At 36.9% G+C, this 26,086-nt stretch overlaps 1 protein-coding gene across 5 annotated transcripts in view; it reads right to left on the reverse strand.

Moving 5' to 3' along the window:
• Positions 1–26,086, reverse strand: part of TRIP11 (thyroid hormone receptor interactor 11) — a 74,069-nt gene that overhangs the window by 18,297 nt on the left and 29,686 nt on the right. For 4 of the 5 annotated variants that reach the window (XR_943560.3, NM_001321851.1, NM_004239.4 and 1 more), the window contains 7 exons: positions 23,353–23,565; positions 19,132–22,161; positions 15,681–15,821; positions 14,953–15,146; positions 11,065–11,228; positions 9,522–9,625; positions 3,997–4,096 (listed from right to left, as the gene is read on the reverse strand). Coding sequence is in view for 3 of the 5 variants with exons in the window: in NM_001321851.1 (NP_001308780.1) it covers positions 3,997–4,096; positions 9,522–9,625; positions 11,065–11,228; positions 14,953–15,146; positions 15,681–15,821; positions 19,132–22,161; positions 23,353–23,565 (3,946 nt within the window). In the remaining 2 variants the exon portion in view is untranslated. Of the gene's footprint in view, positions 1–3,996; positions 4,097–9,521; positions 9,626–11,064; positions 11,229–14,952; positions 15,147–15,680; positions 15,822–19,131; positions 22,162–23,352; positions 23,566–26,086 lie in introns of those variants that run through there. The other variant, XR_001750598.3, reaches the window with a different exon arrangement.

The following is a 26,086-nucleotide window of genomic DNA, read 5'->3' on the forward strand; positions in this document are numbered from 1 at the left end:
TCAATTTATCCAATCATTTTTTTTCTTTTCTTTTTTTTTTTTTTTTGGGACCAAGTTTCACTCTGTTGCCCAGGCTGGAGTGCAGTGGCGTGATCTCAACTCACCGCAACCTCCACCTCCCAGGTTCAGGCAATTCTTGTGGCTCAGCCTCCCAAGAAGCTGGGACTACAGGCATGAGCCACCATGCCTGGCTAATTTTTATATTTTTAGTAGAGATGGGGTATCACCATGTTGGCTAGGCTGGTCTCAAACTCCTGACCTCAGGTGATCCACCCACCTTGGCCTCTCAAAGTGCTGGGATTACAGGTGTGAGCCACCACGTCCGGCCAAATCATTTTCAATTAGCAGGAATTTATGTCAAGGATGATGGCAGAGAACAAGAAGGAAAGGAAAATGTCAAATTTGACCATAAATATAGCAAGATAATGCATTTTAATGGTTCAGTCACAGGTGTATAATTTCTCATCAATAGCAATTCCATGGAATTCTGAACTCTGATCAGCTCAGAGTAGTTAATGAAAACCACTGTCATATGTGCTTCATAGGCCACTCTACTGAGTTTGGATATGGGATGGCATGTGAAGTCTTTGGAACTGTATTGAAGAACACTTTCAGGTAAAATGCTGAAAGAATAATTTTTTAAAAGGAAGGATAGCAGTAATTCTTTTAACAGCCAACACTGTCTATTAAACTATAGTACTTAGGATCGTAGGATTTATTTTCTTCGTTACTTTCCCGGGAAGAGGGATAGAGGGGGAGGGAGACAGGGAGAAATATTTAAACAGTTCCCTACTGCTGGTTTATGTCTCTACTCAAGTTCCTTTTCTCCATGGAATGCTGCCTGACCCTTAATGGGATTCTGGAGGAACTAAATATGCCCTGTCTTATGATCACTGTTGTGCATCACTGTCTTCAATTACTAACCTACGGGGTATCTACACGATGTGTCATTTCCTTAGCTAAACTCCTTGGAAAAGGGATACTATCTAGTATCTCATATAGCACCTAATGGGAAGCCAAGTAGTTGGTTCTCATTAAATATTTAGTGCCTGATAAGCATCTGTCTTCATACTTTTCACACAAGGCCCAAAAATACTCTTAATTCATAAGCACAGATGCACATACATACTCTTAAGAAATGACTGAAATTATCAACAGTCTACTGTTTCAATATTGGCATTATTTGCAACAGCTCTCTTTTTCATATGTTTGACCAGACTGAATCATCTCATCTCTGGTAGCAATGATATAATCAACCATTTGGAATAAAATACTTTTAAAAGTGAGCTTCCTAATATTGTTTAAATGCTGAAACTGTGTATCAATTAATCATTAGTCTACAGATGCTTAGAAGTAACCAATACTTTGCCTTTACGATTCAAGTCTCCATGTACTTTCTTCCAACAAAAGGCAATCTGTCTTTTTCAAAATTGTTTCTCCTGGCAAATATTTTTGCTGTCTGGCCAAGTTTTGTGTTAAAAATAAAGTACAGTATTACAACATCAATCAACATTTAAAGTACTTAATGATCTAGGAGAGAAAATATACAGCGATTCTTTTGAAACAAGTGAGCTAATCAAAGTTTTGTTTACATTATCAAATCAAGAGTGCAGCTTTGAGAAAATAAAATTGCATTTGTATTTAGAGATATAAAAGTGATATTAAAGCACTTAGGTAATATAAGAAAACAGATTGTTAAGAAGAGCTGTAAATGGCAAGAATGACTTACAGACATAACAGAACCAACTGTCTCTTTACACCCCTTCCTGTTTGTGCAACACTGGCCTCTTGCCTGCCCTTTCAAATACCAGTTATACAAGCATAATCAGAGCTTTCTCTGTAGCTAATATTGATTCCACAAAATGAATCCAAAGTTCGTATACGTTTACAATGAATATTAGTATTTTCCACCTAAGCTTTATCATCTATAATCAAGAACATCTGAAAATATTCTACTAGTGGGGGCTTAAATGAGTGTCTGAAAAAGTACTAAATACAGGTTGAGTATCCCTTACCCAAAATGCTTGGAACCAGAAGTGTTTCAGATTTTGGATTTTTCAGACTTTGGAATATCTACATTATAGTACTACTGGCTGAGCATCCCTAATCCAAAAATCCAAAATCCAAAATGCTCCAATAAGCATTTCATTTGAGCATCATGTCACCTTTCAAAAAGTTTTAGACTTTGGAGCATTTCAGACTTTGGATTAGGGATGCTCAACCTGTATTTCAAGAACTCTGATAATATTTATTAACTACAATAAATCTTAGAATTTTAAATTTACCATCAACTATTGGGAATTACTTAGGTAGGTGTCTAAAAGAGGATGTGGCCTTAGATATTATAGTAGCATAACATATAGCACTGAGTTGTCACAAAGCAATGAGCTGGTTCACAACACTGCTGTTTCACCTCCATTAGTCTAGCCCAACCCGAAGATTATCAATTCCCAGTGTGTCTCCTCTCAGTTGCCCATATGTCTTCCAGATAATGTTGTAGTTGCACTGGCCTTCGATCTAACTAGACTGTTTTCTAAATAAATACTGCTCTTGGTAAAGGCAACCATTTCAACGTTAGGGCACAATACAGAAGATGCTACCATATTTTCAGGGGAAACTGGAGATATACAGAACAAAATACAAGTCAGACTATAAATAACCATTTTCCTGATAGGGCTACAATAACATGAAAAGACCACGAATTATGGTAATAGTTAAAAAGATCGGAGTTCAAATCTTGCCTCTTTAATCTATAAAATGGATAATACCACTTATTTTAGAGATGCTTATAAAAAGTAAATGATGAGAAGACTAAATACATAAATGTTATGTCAAATGTCCATAATAGACACTCAATACATAATTGTTTCCTTGCTGCCCATTTTCAGGCCCTCTACTAGATTTAGAGATCCTAGCCTGGTCAAGACTTACAAGGTAGAAGACTTTTGGTTTGGCAGTAACTTGCCTCAGAATCAAGTCATTTTGAGGACAATTACTTCACATCTATCTTTTTTTCTCTGTATTCCTAAAAATCTCCCCTGTCCTGTCTCCTGCTGGATTTAGGCCAGCTTACTTTGGCTTGTCCTTTGGTCTCCATGCGTCAGTGGTTCCTGCCGGCTTGCCTCCCTAGTGTCTAAGTCACTGCTTCTGTTGTTGACAGCTCCTCTGCTGTACCATCTCCTTCTATTTTTGCTTATTTCTAATTTCATGTTAGGTGGTATGTATTTCTTAACTACATGCCTTGTTACTATTGTGCCTAACCTAGACATCTAAAGTTGATGCATTTCTAGGCTCCGTTATCACCTTTCCAATAACCCTGAATCATTACCTACTAAATGCAGCCCTAGAATAGTTTTGACTTCCTGGTTGCCTCTAAATCAGAGATGAAATGAGGATATGCCATCTTTGTCAGCTGTTGGATTCAACAAAGCCCTGTAAGCCACCTGATCACTGAACCAATTAATAATCCTAAGCATAGGACATACCTTAGGGTATGGACAGGGCATATGAGGCACCTTATAAACATCAAAAAATACATGATGCACCTGTGGTAAAACACCATCTACAATCATAAAAATCTAGCTATACCCAGACATTCATTCTACAGAAAGTTGCTCTTTTATTTGAGAATTCTGCCTTCTCTAACAGATCAGATGGCCTTAGGCAAGATGCACGTGAACTGATAAGGGAGAAATCATATCCATAAAAAGTCAAATCAGTCCAATCAACCCCTCTGATGGTCAACAGGGTGACAGCCAATGCAATGGCATTGCCTCAACATCCAGGAAAACTAACTGGACAGCCAGGGCCAACTTAATGACTCTGGTTTCACTAGGACCATACTTAAATTGAAGCAAGTCAGTCAGGGAAGATACAAATGGAAGTCACACATCAATGAAGTTGGTCTCACTCAACTATGCCAATTTATGACAGAAGACTACATTTGATTTAATATCAGTATTGTAGTGGGGGAAAAATGAAAAGAAAAAAACCTACTTTGTCTTTTAAGTTCTTCAATTTGTTCTTCTTTTACATCTAACTGTTCTGTAAGTCTTGATGCTGAATCCAATGCAGCATTTGCTTCATCCAAACATTCCTGAGAAAGAAAACTTTATTAAAAAAAAGTATGCAAAAATTATTTCACAAACTATAAGGCTGAGAGACATCTTAGAGTCAACCTCTACATTTCAGCTGGTGAAGCTGCACCTCTATGACCTTGGGCAAATGTATCCAACCAATAAGTATCAAAGGCAGAACCCACATTCTTTTCAATACAATACTGCCTCATTTAGAGGAACTAAATAAAAAGAGCAGATGCCACTGAAAGACAACATGATGACAGAAGTAAAAAAAAAAAAAAAAAAAAGTAACAACATAAACTACAAAAAAACAAAGATACAGGAAGTCCAGAAATATAGCAACAAATGTTCTCTTTTTCATTTTTGAAAGTCTAATAAAGTGATGTTGATTATGACTTTGTTACTTTAAATTTTATTTCCCTGACCACTACTAGTGAATTTGAGCATTACTTTTCATGTTTACAGGGCAAGCTGGATCTGTCCTTCTGTGAAAACCTCTTTGCATACATTGCCCAAGATTCTACTGAGTTCTATTTCTCCTGTCCATCTGTAAGAGCACCTTGTATAGCAGATATGAAGCTTTTTCACCTGTGCTAAGCAAATACCGTTACCATATCTGCCATTTTTCTACTGACTCTATAATATCTTTTGTCATGTAAACATTTTAAATACTATATAGTCAAACATGTTCTACTTTGCTTTTACAGCTTCTTAAGTTTTAGTCTTGGTTAGGATCCTCCTTGCCCTTAGAATGTAAATGTAGTCTTCCAGATTTTATTACAAGATATTTTGTAATATAGTTAAATCTTTAACACAGTGTTTCTTAATGGGAGTGGCTTTGGCATTCCTTGCCCAATAAATGCCATCTATCCCCAGATAATCAGCACCACTCCCAGTTGAAAATCCCTGCTTTAATACAATTAGACTTTACTTTTGTTTATGATGTAAGGTGAGGGTCTGTTGTTTTTTTTTCCTTCCTTCCTATGGACAGCTGGTTTTATCAACATCATTAATTAGATAAGCTATCCTTTTTCTCATTAAATTAGTTTAGGTTTTAGTTTCAAATTCTCAAATATATCCTGGGCTCTATTTCTGGATTCTCCTTAATCCACTAATCTAGTCAATATTGTATCGATTTATGGCTCTATTATGACATCTAGTAGGCAGGTCTCTCCTCACTGCATTATTTCTCATAATTTTCTTGGCTATTCTCAAGTATTCTCCCATGTAAATTTAAGGTCAAGTTTTGCCATCTTCAATCAGTGTGATAGCCTTTTTACTGTGTCATCCTGGATAGGTCACAGTCCCCAGTTATTCAATCAAATATGATCTAGATGTTGCTGTGAAGGTATTCTGCAAATGTAATCAAAGTCCTTAATCAGTTGAATTTAAGAAAGGCACATTATTCTGGATAATTTGGGTGGGCCCGACTGAACCAGTTTTAAAGTTCTTAAAAGCCAGGGTTTAGCCTTCCCCCTAAAAAAGAAGAAATTCCTTCTTTGGACCGCAGGTTCCGCCTATGCCTATGGAGTTCCATCCTGCTTGTGACTTTCCTTTCCTGGCTGCCTGTGGACAACAGCTTTGGCCCATGCCTGCTGAGTTCCAGCCTGCCTTTGATGTGGGCTTCCCATCTTGACTGCCAACCCTACAAATTTCAGACTTGCTTATCCAGCGGCTGCAATCTTGTAGCCAATTCCTTGTAATAAATTGCATGTGTGTATCCATATATATCAATATATAAATTTGACACATATACATACACACCCTACTGATCCTGCTTTTAGGGGCTGAAACCTGATTGATATATAGAGGGAATGAAATTGAAAATTTTAAATAAAATATTTACTATTCAAAAATCCACAAAACTAAATTTAGTGTGAAGGAAATGTAAACTTTCAAATGATTTTTTTAACCCACACCATTTGTACTTATGAAGTTATTAAAGCTTAAATCTACGCTTAGATTTTTTCCAAAATCAGCATTTAGATTTTGTTATTCTTTCTACCAGTTGTTTGGTTTTTATTTCATTAATTACAGCTTTTATTTTTATTAATTCCCTCAATTTCTTCTCATTTATTTTGTTCTTCTTTTAAATGTATATTACACTTTAAATTTTAAAAAATAAAACTAGTTTTAAAAGAAGATTTGGCTGGGTGCTGTGACACATGCCTATAGTCCCAGCTAGTCAAAAGGCTGAGGCAGGAGGATTGCTTGAGTCCAGAAATGCAAGGCTGTAGTGCACTATTATGATCACACTGGTGAAGAGCCACTGCATTCCAGCCTGGGAAACATAGCAAGATTTCATCTCTAATTAAAATAAGAAAAAAATGCCAGGCATAGAGGCTCACGCCTGTAATTCCAACATTTTGTGAGGTCAAGACAGGAGGACTGTTTGAGCCCAGGAGTTTGAGACCAGCCTGGACAACAAAGCAAGACTCTGTCTCTAAGAAAAAAGAGAAGAAGATCTGGACTTCCATTCTAGCAGTTCCACAGACTGTATACTCTGGATCCACTAGAAACCACTAAGAGTATTAGATAAAATACATCTTTTAAATGTATTAATGAGCTGACAAGAAAGTAAGTATAAATGGTCAATAAACATATTAAAAGATGCTTGACCTCACTGGTAATTAGGGAAGTGCAAATTAAAACCACAGGAAGACAGCCCTTCTGCTATGGCTTGAATGTATACCCACAAGTTCATTTGCTGAAAACCTGATTCCCAATGTGGCAGTATTGGGAGGTAGGGCCTGATGGGAGGTGTTTGGTTCATGGGGGCACCACCCTCATGAATAGATTAATGTCCTTATTGTGGGAGTGGGTTCATAATCAAGGAAGTAGGTTCCTTGCAAGAGGAGGAGTTTGGCTCCCTCTTGTTCTCTCACCTTACCCTCTCTTTGCCACAGGATGATGTAGCAAGGAGGTTTACCAGTTGCTGGCACCTTAATCTTGGATTTCCCAGCTTCCAGAACCCATGAGCTACTAAGTTTCTGTTCATTATAAATAAACCAGTCTGTGGTATTCTATTGTATCAGCACAAAATGGACTAAGACACTTCCTACCCATCAGATTGTCAAAAACTTTGAAAGTCTGATAATGTCAAGTGTTGACAAGGATGTAGAACAAGAAGTCATGTGCCTGCTAGTGGGAGTAAATTAGCACAACCACTTCAGAAAACAATTAATCATCTAATAAAGCTGAAGTTGACCATATATGTCCTATAACTCAGCAATTCCAATCAAGATATACATCTAAAAAAACTCTTGTATGTTTAGAAGATATCTGAAATACCCTTTATTAATAAAATGGGTAAATTATATATTAATGCAATGCATACAGAAGTGAAAATAACAAATCGCCTATATACAGTAACACACAGTAATATGACTGAATCTCATAAACACTATGGTAAGTTTTTTAAAAAAGCAAGTCTCAGCCGGGTGCGGTGGCTCACGCCTGTAATCCCAGCACTTTGGGAGGCTGATGTGGATGGATCACCTGAAGTCAGGAGTTCAACAACAGCCTGGCCAACATGGTGAAACCCTGTCTCTACTAAAAATACAAAAATTAGCCAGGCGTGATGGTGTGTGCCTGTAATCTCAGCTACTTGGGAGGCTGAGGCAGGAGAATCACTTGAACCCAGGGCAAAGGTTGTAGTGAGCTGAGATCACGCCCTTGCACTCCAGCCTGAGCAAAGAGCGAAACGCCGTCTCAAAAAAAAAAAAAAAAAAAAAAAAGCAAGTCTCAGAAAAATTACTGAATTTACATATAGTTCAAATTCCATTTACATAGACTTCAAAAATATGCAAAACCAAACAATGGATTGTTTGGAGCGTCAAACCTATGTGATAAGAACCATAAAGAAAACAAGCAGAAAAAGAAAAAAGAAAACCAAACAAAATAAGGAAGTAATAAACATAACATTTTGGAATAGTGGTTGCCTAAGAGGTGGAAGATGAGAATGGGATGTGAAGGGGTGCATAAGGAACTTCAAAGGATGAAGTTTTATTTCTTACACTGGGTGGTGACAGTGTGGGTATTTGCTGCATTGTTAGTCTTATATTTTATACATATTATCTAAATTGTTTTGCAGCCATTTAATACTTAATTAAAATGTTAAAACTTTATTAGGAAGTATATCTTCACTTACTTGGGACGTTAATGTTCCTGAAGAACAGCATAATTACCTCCACTAATGTCAGGTAAATGAATTTTATCATTTTCTACCAGTTATTGACAGTCTATTTATGACATAGAAAAGCTTCTCCTAGGCCGGGCATGGTGGGTAATCCCAGCACTTTGGGAGGCCAAGGCGGGCGGATCACGAGGTCAGGAGATCGAGACTATCCTGGCTAACATGGTGAAACCTCGTCTCTACTAAAAATACAAAAAATTAGCCGGGTGTGGTGGCGGGCACCTGTAGTCCCAGCTACTTGGAAGGCTGAGGCAGGAGAAAGGCGTGAACCCAGGAGGGGGAGTTTGCAGTGAGCCGAGATCGCGCTACTGCACTCCAGCATGGGCAACAGAGCGAGACTCCGTCTCAAAAAAAAAAAAAAAAAAAAAAAAAAAAAAAAGACAAGTTTCTCCTAAATCTAAAAGCACGTTGTTTTGGTGTCCTATCTCTTCATAGGGGTTCATTTTTATATATTCCTTATATATAATTTTTGTCCTATGTGTGAAATATAGATGGAATAGAAAAATATTTTAAAGGATGTTATTATACAAAAAAAAAAAGATTTAATGGGATAATATATATTGTTTTAATCCATGTGAAATGAGTGCTCACAGAGGTACAAATTTAAAATTTTGTTGAAAAAAGAAAATTACACGCCAGGCGCAGTGGCTCTCACCTGTAATCCCAGCACTTTGGGAGGCTGAGGTGGGCAGATCACCTGAGGTCAGGAGTTCGAGACCAGCCTGACCAACATGGTGAAACCCCATCTCTATTAAAAATACAAAATTAGCTGGGTATGATGGTGCACGCCTGTAATCCCAGCTACTTGGGAGGCTGAGGCAGGAGAATTGCTTGAACCCGGAAGGCAGAGGTTGCGGTGGGTCGAGATCACGCCATTGCACTCCAGCCTGGGTAACAAGAGTGAAACTCGGTCTCAAAAAAAAAAAAAAAAAAAAAAAGAGAGAAAATTATAAAGTTAAATTATAGATTAATTTGGGTGTTTTTTCCCCGGAGACCTCTAAAATACCTCTATGTGCCAAAAAAATTTAAATGTCCTGTCATCTTACATTTGCCGTGTCTACTCTAAACTATGACACCTTAGGGAAATCCTGGGTATCTTGTTCACTGTCAGGCTACAGCAGAGGGCTGGATTCAGGGTAGAAAATTTACTAAATGAACAGTTTAGGAGATTATTTCCAAGACAAAGACTCTACAAGTAACTGTTCCATGAATAATAAAACCTACAAGAGAAAACTATTTTGTCCTACCTGTAATGATATCACTTTTCCTTCCAGATTTTCTGCGTTTTTCTTCCATTCAGCTATAAGCTGTTTTTGCTTTTCGAGTTCAGCAGAATACATAGCTTTTTCCTCTAAAGAGAAAAGAAAGTTAACATTAGTATTTTGCAATCGTGTGTTAAGTTAGAATGTTAAGCCATTTTAAATTTTAATAATCCAACGAAAACAGTTCAAATGTCTCAAACAGAAAAGAATATATGCCTTAGTGATAATGTTAAGCGGTACTAAACTAATGAGATCACTTTCCTCTGCCTAAACACTTCTCCATCTTGTCTATCTTGCAGATTCTTCTCTCCCTTCGTAACTCTTCTCAAATATTTCCTCTTTGGCAACACTTTCTCTACAGTCTCAGTTCCACACTGCTTTGTATACATACCCACTCTAATAATTACATTATACTGTAAAGTAGACCTCAAAAACTTTTTTTTTTTTTTTTTTTTGAGACAGAGTCTCACTCTGTCACCCAGGCTGGAGTGCAGTGGTGTCATCTCGGCTCACTCACTGCAACCTCCTCCTCCAGGGTTCAAGCCGAGTAGCTGGGATTACAGGCATCTTCCACCACACCTGGCTAATTTGTGTATTTTTAGTAGAGATGGGGTTTCACCACATTGGCCAGGCTGGTCTTGAACTCCTGACCTCAGGTGATCTGCCCGCCTTGGCCTCCCAAAGTGCTGGGATTACAGGCATGAGCCACCGTGCCCGGCAAGAATTCTTATATCTAAAATTTAAGATTTCAACCCTGAAGTAACACAGAGGTACAAATTTAAAGTTTTGCTTAGGCATAAAACTACAAGTCCTTGTTACTTCCTCATTCTCATATCCCCTAATCACCTCCGACAACTAGCAGTTAATTTACTGTCAATAATTACTGAATGCATGAATAAACAAATGGATGGATGAATGATCTAAAGTGAATAAATGTAAGGATAGGAGGTAGAATGTGAAAAGGTATATTTGTTTCTCAGGGTAGAACTGCTCTGGTTACTATTATTGTGTCTCCAAAAAAGCACCTTCCATATGGACTAGAAAATGTAGTTACCTCAAAGCATAGATGAATAGCTATGAACATGTGAATCACCATTTCAAAGAACAATAATTAATGATGATTATCTGAAGTAGGTTCAACCTCCAGCCCTTATCTTAAAACCTAACTATTCTTTGTATGTGCGTATCTCTCTTTCTTTGTATTCTCCTCTTCATTACTTGATCATCTTTCCTTGTATTCTCCTCTTTATTACTTGATCATCTTTCCTTGTATTTCCTCAACTCTCATCTCTCACTGGTAATAGGATACTAAAACAAATTTTTAATAATTACTAAATAAAGTTTATTTTCTCGTCTTAATTGTAAAAGGAGTCTAAATTAACTTTTTGATGGCTACTCACCCTTCCCCTCTACCAGTGGGTAACCTTTCAGAGATTTCCCCGTGCCTCATCTAAAATAGCTCTCAAATTAGGCAAAATTACCAATAACTACAATTTTTCTTCATTGAAAGAGTGACCGTAGAGCTTACCTTGTTGGAAATGCTCTAGTACCATCTGCAGGTTGGCCAGTGACAGAGCATACTGCTTTACTTGTTCCTGAGAGACAGAAAGCTGCAGCGCAGTTTCATCCCTTTGCTTGGAAACTACATTCAACTGTTCTTGCAATGACTCTACCTGCACACTGGCTTGATGGCTTCAAACAAAAAGAATAAAAGTCAAACTGCTTCATCTATTTAGATACTTTAACAAGAAGAAGCCACCTTCCCTACATCTTATTACTTTATTTTATTTTATTTCTTTTTTTTTTTTTTGAGACAGAGTCTCGCTCTGTCACCCAGGCTGGAGTGCAGTGGCACAATCTCAGCTCACTGCAACCTCCACCTCCTAGGTTCCAGCGATTCTCCTGCCTCAGCCTCCTGAGTAGCTGGGGTTATAGGCGTGCACAACCATGCCTGGCTAATTTTTGTATTTTTAGTAAAGATGGTGTTTTACCATGTTGGCCAGGCTGGTCTCAAACTCCTGACCTCAGGTAATCCACCCACCTTGGCCTCCCAAAGTGCTGGGATTACAGGCATGAGCCACCGCCCCTGGCCTCTTATTGCTTTAAATTCAAGTTAGATTTCAAAGTATTTAGATACTTTAATAAGATGAAACATCCTACATTTTTTATTATGGTAAAATATACATAAAATTTACCATTTTAACCAGTTTTAAGTGTACAGTTCAGTGGCACTAAGTACATTCACACTGTTGTACAACCACCACCACCATCCATCTCCAGAACTTTTCTCACCTTCTCAAACTGAAACTCCATACCCATTAAATAGTAATTCCCCTTTCCCTTGAAAACTACCATCCTACTATCTATCTCTGTTAATGTGATCTTTCCTACACTTTATTGCATTAAATTCAAGTTAAATTTCAAAGAAACTTGAAGAGTTCTTCTGGTACCTGTTGCCCTGTTTTTGTAAATTCAATCACTCTTCCTGTGAAAGTGACTTTGAACAAATGGCAGTCCTTTTAAAGACTAAGAATTAAGTTAAATAAGAAAAGTCAGCAAAATAAAAATGTAGTCCAGGTGAGGCGGCTCTCACATGTAATCCCAGCCCTTTGAGAGGCCAAGGCAAAAGGACTGTTTGAGCCCAGGAGCTTGAGGCTGCACTGAACTATGATCACACCACTGTACTCTAGCCTGGGCGACAGAGTGAGATCCTGTCTCTAAAAACTACAAATAAAAGAAAAAGGTACAAATGAATAGCCTGCAATTTTTGTGCTTCCAGGCTAAAACTCTAAGATGTAATTTATCATAAAATGTTTTGTAAGGAACCCTGGAAGTCATTTTGTCCAGCTCCCAATTTAATACAAAATGGATTCTATGACACTCCCTTGCCTTTGACCCCCTTGTATTCATGGTGAATTCACAACTTTCCAAAGGCTATCCCACTGATGAACTGCTCTGAATATTAGTTATCTTTTACTATCATCTTTCTGCCTATATTAAACACAATAACCTCTATCTCTGACTCCAGAGAGTCCTAAGAGGTAGATATAGATAAAGCACCTATCTAGGCTTATGTCACTGGTGTACTTCCTTAATGTATAATGATTACATTCAAAATACTGCAATAGTCTCCCAGGGGTTTTAATTTCCGGTTAAATTCTTATTCAAGAGCAGCCCATTAAAGCTCATTAGGATCAACTCATTTTGAAGAGACTTTACCCATTAGCACCCTCTTGTGGAAAGAGCACAAGTTGGTAATCAGAAGATCTAAATTCAGCTCCCAAATATCTCTGGACCTTGTTCAACTTTGTTGGTTAGCAATCACTCAGTGGGTGATTGTAGGAATGAAATGAGCTATGATGGCACTCTAGAAGTTAATAAATACCAGGTGTTACTATTGTTAAGTAAGGGCTCACACCACCATAATCCGGTTTGTAGATCTGAGTTACTCATACAACAAGTATTTACTGAATAGCTATTAAACTCTGTGTAATATATGCTATGTGATAGGTAGAAAATGAATGAGCCCATTCCTACCTCCCAGTGACTTTACATTTCATTGGGTGGGAGGCAGTATAGGACACGTCGACAATTACCTGTACCCTAAATTAAAATATAAGTGCCCTCAAACTATAAGACTCAAACTAAATATTATGCAAGTTCAAAGGAAAAACATCACACCAGGAAGATTTGTTTTTGGATATGACAAGTGGGGTGCTAAATAAAGCACCCTTTAGGAAGAAAATGGAATTGAAGAATAGGCAAGATTCATAGAACAACTTGCAGGGGATCAGGTTCACCCTTCAGGCAGAAGAAGGCATATGAAAAGAAAAAGCAGAAGAAAAAGAAACAGGAAAACAGTGGCTCTGAGAAAGTGAGTAATACAGTTTGGCTGGATGTAGCTGATAACATGAAATAAGGCTAAGGTGGTAGGAGCCTGGGACCATCCTTGAGTCAAGACCAGTTTTTGAAAAAAGGAGTAAAAAGATCACACCTCTATGTAAGGAAGGTTATTCTCAAAGTTATTATGAAAAATAAATGAAAAGTGCAGAGACTAGAAACTATTTTAATTAAGAGAAAATAAGGGCTTGAAAAGTGCAAAAAAAGAGTGAGAATACAGAATGTTACAGCATTTCTGCCAAACTGAAACATATAGCCAAATGATCACTCATTGTTTTAATCCCCGTTTTAAACAAGTTTTCCAGCTGAGTCTGAAGGTATAATAATATACTCTGCAAAGGTGGGGTAGGGGTTAATTCGCAGGAATATTGTCTCTACTAGCCTATAATTTATTTGCAGACAGATAGAAATGATTATCTCATTTTATCTCCCTTTGTGTCATAAATAGTAAAAAGATAAATACAAAGATGCATATACAACTAATAGGAATACAAATGGACACAATTTTTTGTGAAATAATTTGGCAGTATAATCTCAGAAGTTTTAAAATGCTTCTTGATCTAGAAGTTCCGTTTCTCAAAACTTACCCTAAGGATATAATCTGTCATCAACACAAAAATACATGTCTTGGGATATCATGTCAACACTCAGTGATTTTGAAAAGTTAAAACACATAATAAATGACTGCGTTAATCATGGCAAATCCAAATAATGGCATATTATGTAGCCACAAAATATTGCAAACATACATGGCTTAACATGTACTGACATTCATATTATTGATAGAAACAGATTACAAAACAGTATGAATATTATAATCTCAGTTTTGCTTTAAAAAGGGTATATAATGTATACACACAGACATAAAAGTATAAAAAGGCACACAAAAAGATTATCTCTGGGCATGTGGGGCTCTGTGTGATTTGTGTGATTTTCCTAAACATGAAAAATATAACCTTTTTACAACTAAAAAAAAAAAAACAAGAAAAAAGTTTTCTTGAGAGAAATAAAAATCTAAAATATATAAACAGGGACCGGGTCACTCAAGAGTGCTAATAAACCCAGTTAATTCTTCATACTGACCTTGGTCTCTACTCTGCTACTTCCTTTACTCTCTTCCTGCTAACATCCACATCCTGTTCAACTTAAGATCATTTGATGAAAAATACAACCACATAAATAGTTATTTTGGAGTTGAACAGAGCCAATTAAAATCAGTCAGAATTTCAAACTATACTCCTAAAATGGTAAGAGGCAGTGATCTAGGGTGATGGTCAAAACACAGACAGTTTGAATGCCAGATCTAAAGAGTCACAGACTCAAATGTGAAACCCCCACACACACTCTGAGTGCCTACCTTGGGCAGGTTATTTAATCTCTTTACCTTCAGTTTCTTCATCCATAAAATACAGATAATGAATTTTGCAAGGATGAGCTAACATACAAAAAATACTTACTGAGTCTGATATTTAAGAAGTGTTCAGTTAAAGTTAATGCAAAAAAATGAAAAAATTACCTTGCATTTTCCATTGCATTAGAGGATGAAACTAGCTTTTCCTCCAATACTGTGACTTTCTTTCTTAGTTTAGCCTCTCTATCTTCTGCAGCCAAAGCTTCACGGGTATAAGAATCTTCTGATTCTAAAAGATGATTACGCAATCTCTCTAGCTCTTGGTTTGAACGAAATTCTTTGTCACGTAAACGTTGAACCTAGGTAGAGGACATTATTTTTCTTTTACAAAATGCTCCCTTTCCACTGCTACAAACCATTTTGTTATCAAATCTTTTTCCCATTATTGAAGATATTAATTGTATACCAATTTCTCATACTGCAAAATGTATTTATGCTAGGAAAAAATTATCTTGAAATCATCTTGAATATGCATCTGGAAGCTTTACTTCCCAGAATCTTATTCCCCTGTGGCTATAATGGAAAATGGAATTATAAAATTCATTCTGTATAAAGTACTCTTTGTGACAGGCCACTTTTTCAGCAAATCTCATTTTTTTCACACTTTATGGGTGGGCAATTTTTCTTATATCCGAGATATGCCATGATTTTCACTTTTGAAGACTGAAATAAAATGCACCATGGGAGATTAAAATTTTACTACTGCACAGCAGAGGAAGAATAAGAAAAATCACCTAACAGAGAAATTCATTTTCACTGATCACCTTTCCAGTTCTCTTAATAGTTATTAAACTTATTGTTTGATTCATAATTCTTTTAAAGTGAAAGTATACCTCATTCTGTAGGGCAGTATTTTCCATTTGTTTTTGTTTCAGGGCCAACATGACTTGGTCTCTCTCCTGTTGAAACACAACTGTCTTCTCCTGCATTGATTTAACTGCATTTAAAAGCTGATTTAACTCTCCAGTCTTGCCCTTTTGGAAAGAAAAAATTTTAGCTTTAAAAAACACACACACACACATATTTTAAAAGAGACATTTTCTTCACTCAATTATTAATTCATTTAATTTTTAAATAGGGCAGCCTCCCGATTTACTCTCTGAGTAGGCTCAGAGAGACTCCTAGTTAATTTAAAAACGTAGTTAACTATGTCAAAGTCATGAAAAACCAAAAAAGTCAGAGAATCTGTCACAATCTAGAGAAGCCTATGGAGCCATGACATCTAAATATAATGAATATAAAGCGGTATCCTGCCGGTACAGGAAAAGGACATTTAGTAAACATTAAGGAATTCGAGTCAAGTATGAACTTTAGTTCAGTAACACCTCAATATTGGTTCATTAGCTGTGGCAAATACCTCATAACAATGTAAGATGTTAACAAGGAAAACTCAGTATGAGGTCTATGAGACCTATCTTTGCAAATTTTCTATAAATTTAAAACTATTCTAAAAGAATAAGTTTATTAGAAATGTTTTAAAAGGAACCCAAAGGACAAAAATGTCTTCAAATTTACCCTATACAACAAAGTATTCAGAACCCCCAAATCAACAAAAAGTGTACGTGTGTGCACACGTATGTGCGTGCTGTCCATTCATAAAGTATCCACAATTGTTATGAGAGAAAGTAACTTCACTGCAAAAGTAGGGCCACAAGTTTCAGACAATAGCTGAAATTCTAAAAAGCACAAAAACGTGTCAGGCTGCTTTACAGCCACTTTCTTTTTTTTTCTTTTTTTTTTTTTTGAGACGGAGTCTTGCTCTGTTGCCCAGGCTGGAGTGCAGTGGCGCGATCTCGGTTCACTGCAACCTCCGCCTCCTGGGTTCAAGCAGTTCTCGTGCCTCAGCCTCCCAAGTAGCTGGGATTACAGGCATGCACCACCACGTCTGGCTAATTTTTGTATTTTTAGTAAAGACAGGGTTACACCATGTTGGCCAGGCTGATCTCGAACTCCTGTCCTCAGGGGATCCACCCACCTCAGCCTCCCAAAGTGCTGGGATTACATGTGTGAGCCACCATGCCCGGTCTACAGCCGTTTCTTTTCTCCATTTTAAATATGCATATCTTATGAACCTATTTACAGTTTAGTATATTTTTAGTTTTCATGTAAACTTTCCACTTCTTTAAGAATATGTAATGTATCCCCCAGGATAAATCATTATAACCAAAATATAAAACAATCTGTTCCTTTAATATTAACACTTCTGGATAGGGAGGCCAATATTTTCCAAATAGTTTTTCAGTTTTTTTTTTTTTTCACACTACAAAGAAAGAGCAAATGCTTGAGAAATTAAATAGATCTGAATATCTCCTATTGAGAACATCCTTTTCTCCCTAAAAAAAGATGTTACTCATTATATTCAAGATATAATCTAAAGGTACTTTTATATTATATACAGAGTATTGGAAGAAATTAGTTTACACTAATTACCCTCAAGTAATACAATAGTTAAGTACCACTTAGCTAACTTAGGGAAGCTTCCTAAAAGTGAGGAGAGTGTTAATAATATCTGCACACTTTAGATCTGCAAAGGTCAATGAAATAGAACTAAATTGTACAAAACGCTAAAACTCCAAAATATCTATAAATGACAGAAGACATCATTGTACTTTATTCCTCTGTTCTACTCTTATAACCTTAAGAAGCTAGAGCCAATTTGGGCTAGTGAACAATAGGAAGCTCTAGCCTCTAGGACTCTCTTCACATCAATTATAGACCAGTACCATTAAAGCTAAGAAGTTATCTCAGAAGAACACCTTAACACTGATAATCAGTGTGCCTACTTCATCAGATGACAAAGGAAAAAATGAAGTTTTCACAACTTTAATCCAAGACTCTAAGAGGGAACCTAACTGGCAAATGAAGTTGAATCACTTTGTATCTTATGCCTGGCAGCAAGTAATGCTCAAGAAGTGCTAGTTGAATATTTTATTGTTTTGCCTATCATCTCTTTTCAAAATTTCTGCTACTAAAAGCATAGAAATCACAGTAAAAAGGCACTACTAAACAAACCCTACACAGCACCCTATACACTGCCAAACAAGCCCTACACTATACTATCATATAGTACAGTATAGTATACAGTGTAACAGGAAATCCTCAATAATTCTTACTAAAATGAATTGCATATAAAAATTTAAATATTATCAAAAGCTACTGGCACTATCCATATAACTGCTATGAACTCCTGTTTTATAGCTGAATAAACCAATAAGGTCAAAACATACCCAAAATCACATCAGTGACAGAACTGGGATTAGAATATTTACTGAGCCTACTATGAGAAAAGTATTACTCATGGCTAATACTTTTCAAATTCCAGGTTGTGACTAATCAATACATAAAAATCAATTTAATGAGTCACTCAGCACATTTTCTTATTATTTTAAAAAAATTTCTAACCCAAGTCACTCTACCTGAATAACACATTCTTTTTTTTTTTTTCTTTTTCTTTTTTATTGAGACAGAGTCTTGTTCTGTCACCCAGGCAGGAGTGTAATGGCATGATCTCGGCTCACTGCAACCTCTGCCTCCTGGGTTCAAATGATTCTCCTGCCTCAGCCTCCCAAGTAGCTAGGATTACAGGCACCCACCACCATGCCTGGCTAATTTTTTGTATTTTTTTTAGTAGAGTCGGGGTTTCACTATGTTGGTCAGGCTGGTCTCAAACTCCTGACCTCAGGTGATCCACCCACCTTGGCCTCCCAAACTGCTGAGATTACAGGCATGAGCCACCGCGCCCAGCCAGCACATTCTTTTTCAAACAGAGTATCACACGTAATAAGAGCAATTTCTGGTTCCTCAAACTTTTCAGTTAGACACACACGCACACACACATACATACTCTTACTGTGTCACAACGTGAAATGTATTTCTTACTGCAGATGGTTAAAGACATATGTGTATTTTACAGTGCTTTCCTTATATATAAGAATCTCTAAAATGTTAACAGCTACTGTAATACCTAAAATTTGATTAAATTGAAGTAACTTCAAAATTCTCTCATGAGACACATCTGTTTCCTAAAGAAAAATATTAAGTACTACTTAGCAATCTGTAAAAAATTAATTTACTACCAAAAGCATTTGGAAATATCTAACAATTTGAGGGAGAACTTCCAGATGTCTCTGAGGAAAATTTACTTAGAATGAATCACACCTTGAAATAAATATTTCTAAATGAACAAATGCACAGTCCCCTTCAAAGACAATATAAATGAAATAACATTAAAAAAAGTCTCCTCCACCCCCAACTTCCTTCTACAATACTCCATCCAGAACACACCTGTTCTTTCTCTTTCAATAGCTGTTCAAAAGCAAGAGCCTTCTCCTTCATTGAGTGGCACTCAAACTCTTTTTCTCGCAGCATCATAGAAAACTTCATGTTAGTCTCTTGTAACGCTTGATATTCTGTTTCCTTTCCCCTGTATGTTTCCACTATTTTTTCATTTTCTCCTTTTAGTTTGCCAATGTCCATCTCTAGAATTAATATTCTCTCCTTCAGGTTTGTTACTGCCTGCCTCAAAAGTTCGTTTTCATTTACTTTGTTAGTGAAATTTTCATTGGAAGAAAGTAGTTGATCACTTTTGGCTTTGATTAAGAGGTCTTTTTCCTTAAGTAACTTTTGCAAAACATCTTGTTTCTCCTTTAGCTGCTTGATTTCTGAATCGGTTTGTTCGTGTTCTTTTCTTTCTAGCTCTGAGGTGGCAGCAATCGAATCAGACAATCTGTGGTTATTTTCCTGGAGAGTTCTAATTGTTGCATCTTTTTCCTGTAGTGATTTTCTTAGCTCTTCTAACTCTTGCTGAAGCAATTCAGAAGATTCACTCAATACTTCAGACTTACTTGCTCTAAGACACTCTGCAGACTGGGGAGTAAGCAATGATGCAGAAGACAGCTGGGGTGAAATAATATCAAGTTTTCCTAAAAGAAGATCCTTGGTATTGCAAAGCTGCCCAATGCTGTGCTGAACTTGTGCTAATTCCTGCCCAAAATTTTTGAGTTTGGTTTCATTCTGCTCATAACTTTGGATCAGGCCAGTATAGTCCACTTGTAATTTAGAATTATTATCACTGTCAACCAAAACCTGTGCTTGAAGTTGGTGAAGCTCTTCCTGAAGCTGGGCTGACTCGTGTTGCATATTTTGTACTGTGGTCATCACCTGCTGCTTCCACTCTTCCATTTTCTTTACTTGCTGTTTTAACTTGTCACGTTCCTGTAGAAGCTCCTCAAATTGATTACTATTAACACCTCCAGCCTCATTACCAGTGCTGGATGTTTGTAAAACTGCCAATAAAGTCTGACATTTCTGACTTAGTGCATCTATTTCGATGTCTTTTTCTCGAATGATACGTGATAAATTCTGAATAGTTTCTCTAAACATATCTTGGCCACTACTTTCAAATCTAGTGGACAATTTTTTATTTTCATCTTGCAGTTTGATAAGAGCTGCTTCCTTGGCAGCAACAATATCCATCATTTTGTGATATTCTGTTTTTAGATGGCTATTTTCCCTAGTCTTCTCATTCAAAACAGCAAATACCTTTTCTCTTTCCATAGCATAAGCCTGCAGTTGCTGTTGAAGGTAAACAACATCTTGAGTATGGGAAGTTGAAGAAATTCTAGCATGAAGAGCTTGTATCTCCAAATCTTTCTGCTGAATAATCTGAGTTAGTTTACCAACTTCATCTTTGGACAACTGATCAATCTGTTTAGTTAAAGATATATTCTTTTCATTTAGAAGTTTAATCTCCAGTTCTCGCTCTTTTATTCCTTTCACTAATCTTTCCGTTTCAGCTTTAGATAAATCATGCTTTTCACTTCCATTTTCTATATTAAGGCTCTGAACTTTTGTTTCTTGAAAAATATCAGAGTTATCTGTTTGAATGTCCTGTCTTTCTTCATGCAACTGGGTTTTGATTTGTTCAATTGTTTTTTGCAAACTCTTAATTTCCTCATCCTTCTCTAAAAAGAGCTGGGTGTGTGTGGCGTTCATTTGCTCATGCTGGTATCTAAACTCATCCATTTCCTTCTTTTGCTCTTGTAAAGACTGAAGTAGTTGCATCTTACTCTGGTTTTGATCTTCAATTATCTTTTGATGATGTTTAATTTCCTCTTCAAGATGTTCCTTGATCGTGTTCAGTTGAGATACCTCAGATGCTAGTTCAGTAACACTATCAAGGGTTTTAGGGTCAGCCACAGGTGCGGTTCGACTCTGCTCTTCCCTGAGTCGTTCCAATTCTTCTTGCAGATGATTATTTTCCTCTTTCATGGATCCAAGACTTCGGTCTTTTTCCTCTATGGTCTGTCTTAAAATTTCATTTTTTCTTAAGGCCTGAGAATATTTATCCAATTCCTCCTGCAGCTTTGAACTTCTTTCTTTAAGCTTTTCAATAAAAATTTCTTTCTTGTTTATAAGTTGTGTCAACTGCTTCTGCTCTTCTAAACTAGATGACAAAACGTCCTTAGTTTCTTTATGGTCAGTATCCATTTGTTCAATATTCTTTTTGAGTTCTGCTATTTCCATGTCTTTCTTTTGATTGAGTTTAATTAAATGCTCATGTTCCAGCTGTAAGGCAGAGGTATTCAAATTACGTGCATTTGACAGTTCTTCAATGGTTTTCTCATACTTGTTTGCTTCTTCCAACAGCCTCTTTTTAGCCCAACACAATTCTGCCTCTATCTCTCCTTTTTCCATTTTTAGAGTCTCCACAATAGTGTTTTTTTCCAGAGAAAGCTGATTGTTACCAGCAAGACATTCTTCTAACTGATGCCTCACATCTTCACATGCTAAAACTAACTTTTCATTTTCCATTTTGACATCAAAAGCAACTTTCTTTAAATTTTCATTGAGCTGTTCTAATTCTGAAAGATTTTGCTTTAAGTTTCTAACTTCAGCTTCTCTTTCTTTAAGTAAGGTATCCTTAAAATTACTATTAGAGTCTTGATTTAGAGACTGCATTAACTCATTCCTTATTCTAGAAAGCTCCTCCTCATTTTGTCTAATATGCTCCTTAAGTTCTAAATTCTCCTTCTGGATGCTTACATTACTTTCTTGTGATTTATTTAGCTGATCTACTAAATTTTCTACTTTGTCCTCAAGTTTCTGCTTGGTTAAATGTAAATCATTTAGGGCCACTTCACTTTGAATTAGCTTTTCTTTCTGTACATCTAACTCTTTAGTAATGTCCATTTTATCATCTTCAAGTTGATGAACTCTCTTTTTTTCATCATTTAGATCTTGTTTCAGTTTACTGATGATGCTATCTCCTTCATTTTGTTGTTTTGATAGCTGATCTTTTATCAAAATCATGTGCTGAAAGAAAAATTTGCATGGTGACTTTACAACATGTTCTCATTTTAGTACTCAAAGAAAATTTTATAAAATCTCATACATAATAGAAAATAATCCTCAAATATTTCTAATCCTTCTTAAAAACATTGTTTTTCTATCAAAAACACCCACTACAAAATTACTTATTATTATTTTACAGCAAACCCATCTTGTCTTTTTTGTTTTTTGAGACGGAGTTTCGCTCTTGTTGCCCAGGCTGGAGTGCAATGGCACAATCTCGGCTCGGCGCAATCTCGGCTCACCGCAACCTCCGCCTCCACCTCTTGAACCTCCCAGGTTCAAGCAATTCTCCTGCCTCAACCTCCCGAGTAGCTGGGATTACAGGCATGCGCCACCACACCCGGCTAATTTTGTATTTTTAGTAGAGATGGGGTTTCTCCATGTTGGTCAGGCTGGTCTCAAACTTCCAACCTCGGGTGATCTGCCTGCCTCAGCCTCCCAAAGTGTTGGGATTACAGGCATGAGCCACTGTGCCTGGCCCCATCTTGTCATTTCTTAAAGCATTTTAGGGATAAGAATTTAAAACCAAAGATGGTAAATAGTATTTTTTTTTTTTTTGAGACAGAGTCGCTCTGTTGCCCAGGCTGGAGTGCAGTGGCATGATCTCGGCTCACTGTAACCTCTGCCTCCTGGGTTCAAGCAATTCTCTGCCTCAGCCTCCCGAGTAGCTGGGATTACAGGCACCTGCCACCACGGCCGGCTAATTTTTTGTATTTTTAGTAGAGACGGGGTTTCACCATCTTGACCAGGCTGGTCTTGAACTCCTGACCTCGTGATCCACCCGTCTCTGCCTCCCAAAGTGCTAGGATGACAGGCATGAGCCACTGCGCCCGGCATGTTGTTTATTTTTAACTCTACACTAGAGTAAGAGTCAACGAACTATAGCCATTGGCCAACTCAGGGATGCTGCCTGTTTTGTAAATAAAATTTTGTTGAAACATGGTCACACTCATTTGTTGGTATCACAACAACAGAGTTGAGTAGACTGAGACAATATGGCCTACAAGGCCAATGATATTTACTATCTAGCACTTTACCAAAAAGGTTTGTCAATCTCTATGAACTAAAATATTAATTAAATCACACCCACCATTTCTGTGTTTAGTTTACTTAGTAGAATGTGCTGCCTTACTGTATTTAATACAGTGTTACCTTTGTAGCTTCTTGATTCTGTCTGTCCAATTCTTCTATCTCAGCTATCAGTGTTTCCTTTTCACTAATACTCTGATTGAGTTCTTGTTCCTTTGCCTCCAAATTAAGTCTTAAGTCATGTAATTCTGAATCCAAACTTATGTCTCTTGTAGCTGTACTTTTAATTACTTCATATTCATTGTTCAATTTTAAAAGTGACATCTGAAGTTCTTCCTGAAATGATAAAAGGAAAAAAGCAACACATACTTTCAATTGGAGACACCAAAAGATTAAAAACATACATAGAAGCAAAACTTGGGATTCTATTTAAGTGCTCTATATTGGAAATAATATTGAACAATACCTCAATAATTGTATGTGAAATTCAACAAACCACATCCTTCATTCATGTGCAATTTTACTTGTAGCTTCAAGCAAAACATTTCTATAACCCTAGACAGATGCAGCGACTGTAAGTTTGTCCTCTAGCACCAAGTTCTTCTTTATAAAAAACGTTCCCATTTGAGAGCCTCTCCTATCCTGCTCCACCGTGGCTACCCTTTATCCATCCCCTGGCCCCACCTACCATACATACATACTTTCCAAAATGTCCGCAAGTCTTTCTGCCTTCCTCACTTCCATTCTCTAACATCCAGTCATCAACAGCCTCAGACTAAATAAAAATATAAAAAATCAACACTCCTTCACCCAAATGTTTAGCCTCTCTAATTAGAAAATAAAAGGTTTCTTTTCTCTTACTAAAGGAATTTCCCTTATTACTTTTGCTTCTGTTAGAACATGGAACTTTTTCTTGACCCTAGAAAGAATCCTCCTTCCTTCCTTTACCTTTTAACCAGACTAGGTTCCCCTCTGTCACACCTGACATTCCTAAAGATAGTATATATACATTTTATAGTCTACTACCTGGTATTTAATGCTTTCTCCAAAATCTCAGAAGTGGGACAGTTCTCTATGCTTCAACATTATTTCAGTCTCTAGTTATGATGTTTGTAATAAACTATATATTAAAGCCTTCTTTCATTGACAGATTTTTAAAAATCAAACCCATATGGAATCTACTTTAAATAGAGTATTGAACCAGGCATGATGGCATTTATCTATAGTCCCAGGAGGCTACTTAGGTGGCTGAGGCAGAAGGATTACTTGAGCCAAGGAGTTCAAGGCTGTAGTGCACTATGATCATGCCATGATCAGCCACAGCACTCTAACCTGGGCAATACAGCAAGACTCTCTCTCTCTAAAAAATAAAATTAAAAAAATAAGAATCTCAAATTCCTTCAAAGAAACAGCCTAATATAAACCTTATAAAAGAAACTCAACATTGCTATGGAGAGTTGGTTGAAAAAACAGAGATCCGATAAAAGCTATACTAGAGTATCTGTATCACAATTCTTATTTCCTTCTAATTCAAAAATTTATTCTAACTACAGCTGAAAGATGGAAACAGCATTCTCTTAAGTCTTTCTAAAGTTATCTGTTCAAATTAGGAGAATCACAGACATTTTCTTTAGGTAGATCTTAAAAGCACACACAGCCTCATAGGTACTTTTTAAAAAAATTATTTAGTGTTTTTTTGTAGATATGGTGTCTCACTATGTTGCCCAGGCTGGTCTCGAACTCCTGGCCTTGAGCAATCATCCCACCTTGGCCTCCCAAAGTGCTGAGATTACAGCGTGAGCCACCACACTCGGCCCTCATAGGCACTTTTGGTATTCTTAATCAGTAAGCAGACACAACTCAAGGAAGAGTTACAATGGACTACTTTAACATCAAAAGAAAGGAGAAACAGCTATCAGGACAAGCTACAGAAACCAAACACATCATGAAAAGGTTACAGGCCCTGCCAGGTAAGTGCAGAGAGTTCTGCAAACTACAAACGACTAGGTCAGTCAGGTAAAGAGCAGAATACAATGGGAGCAAAAACAGGAAAGATAAAATATATATAATATAGTAATTTTTAAAACGACTGGGAGATACTGCTGGCACATAGTGGGTAGAAAGAGTGGCAGCAAGAATCCCACAATACACAGTGTAGTGCCCACAACTAAGAATTTTCCTGCTTAAATGCCAATAGCAGTCCCTTTGAGAAACACTGCATATATACTAATGTGGAAAGATGTTGGAAATATGGTATGTAAAAAGGATATTTATAATATGCTGACATTTGTATTTTTTAAAGCTACTGATACATACAATCATACATGCATAGACATAGTCCAGAAAGAAACACTAGAAATTGGTAACAGAGACTGCCTCTGGGAAAGAGGCCAAGCCACAGAGGTACAAAAGATACTCTACTTGTACTATCCGAAGGTTTTCAGTATGTATGTTTTCTGAACACATATATCAGAAAATATGCATCACTTTTTAAAATTAGGAATTTAAATTAAGACACTGGCCTTTAACTTAATAATACTAGCTTACAACTCTCCTATATTTAAGCACCTGCCTTAGCCAAGAAATTTCCCCAAAGTGGTTCAAACATAAAAATACTTCTAAATACCTTTCCCTTTCAGAATCTTATTCCTTCCTTGCTATGAATACATACAATAAAGCCCTTCTTTCTACCACTGAAACTGTTGCTCTGTACCCCTATAAAGACCTTCTTTCACCAGGCGTGGTGGCTCACGCCTATAATCTCAACACTTTGGGAGGCCGAGGTGGGCAGATCACCTGAGGTCGGGAGTTTGAGACCACCCTGACCAACATGGAGAAACCCCGTCTCCACTAAAAA

The sequence above is a fragment of the Homo sapiens genome, chromosome 14, assembly GCF_000001405.40.
Source record: "Homo sapiens chromosome 14, GRCh38.p14 Primary Assembly".
Classification (NCBI taxonomy): Eukaryota; Metazoa; Chordata; class Mammalia; order Primates; family Hominidae; genus Homo; species Homo sapiens.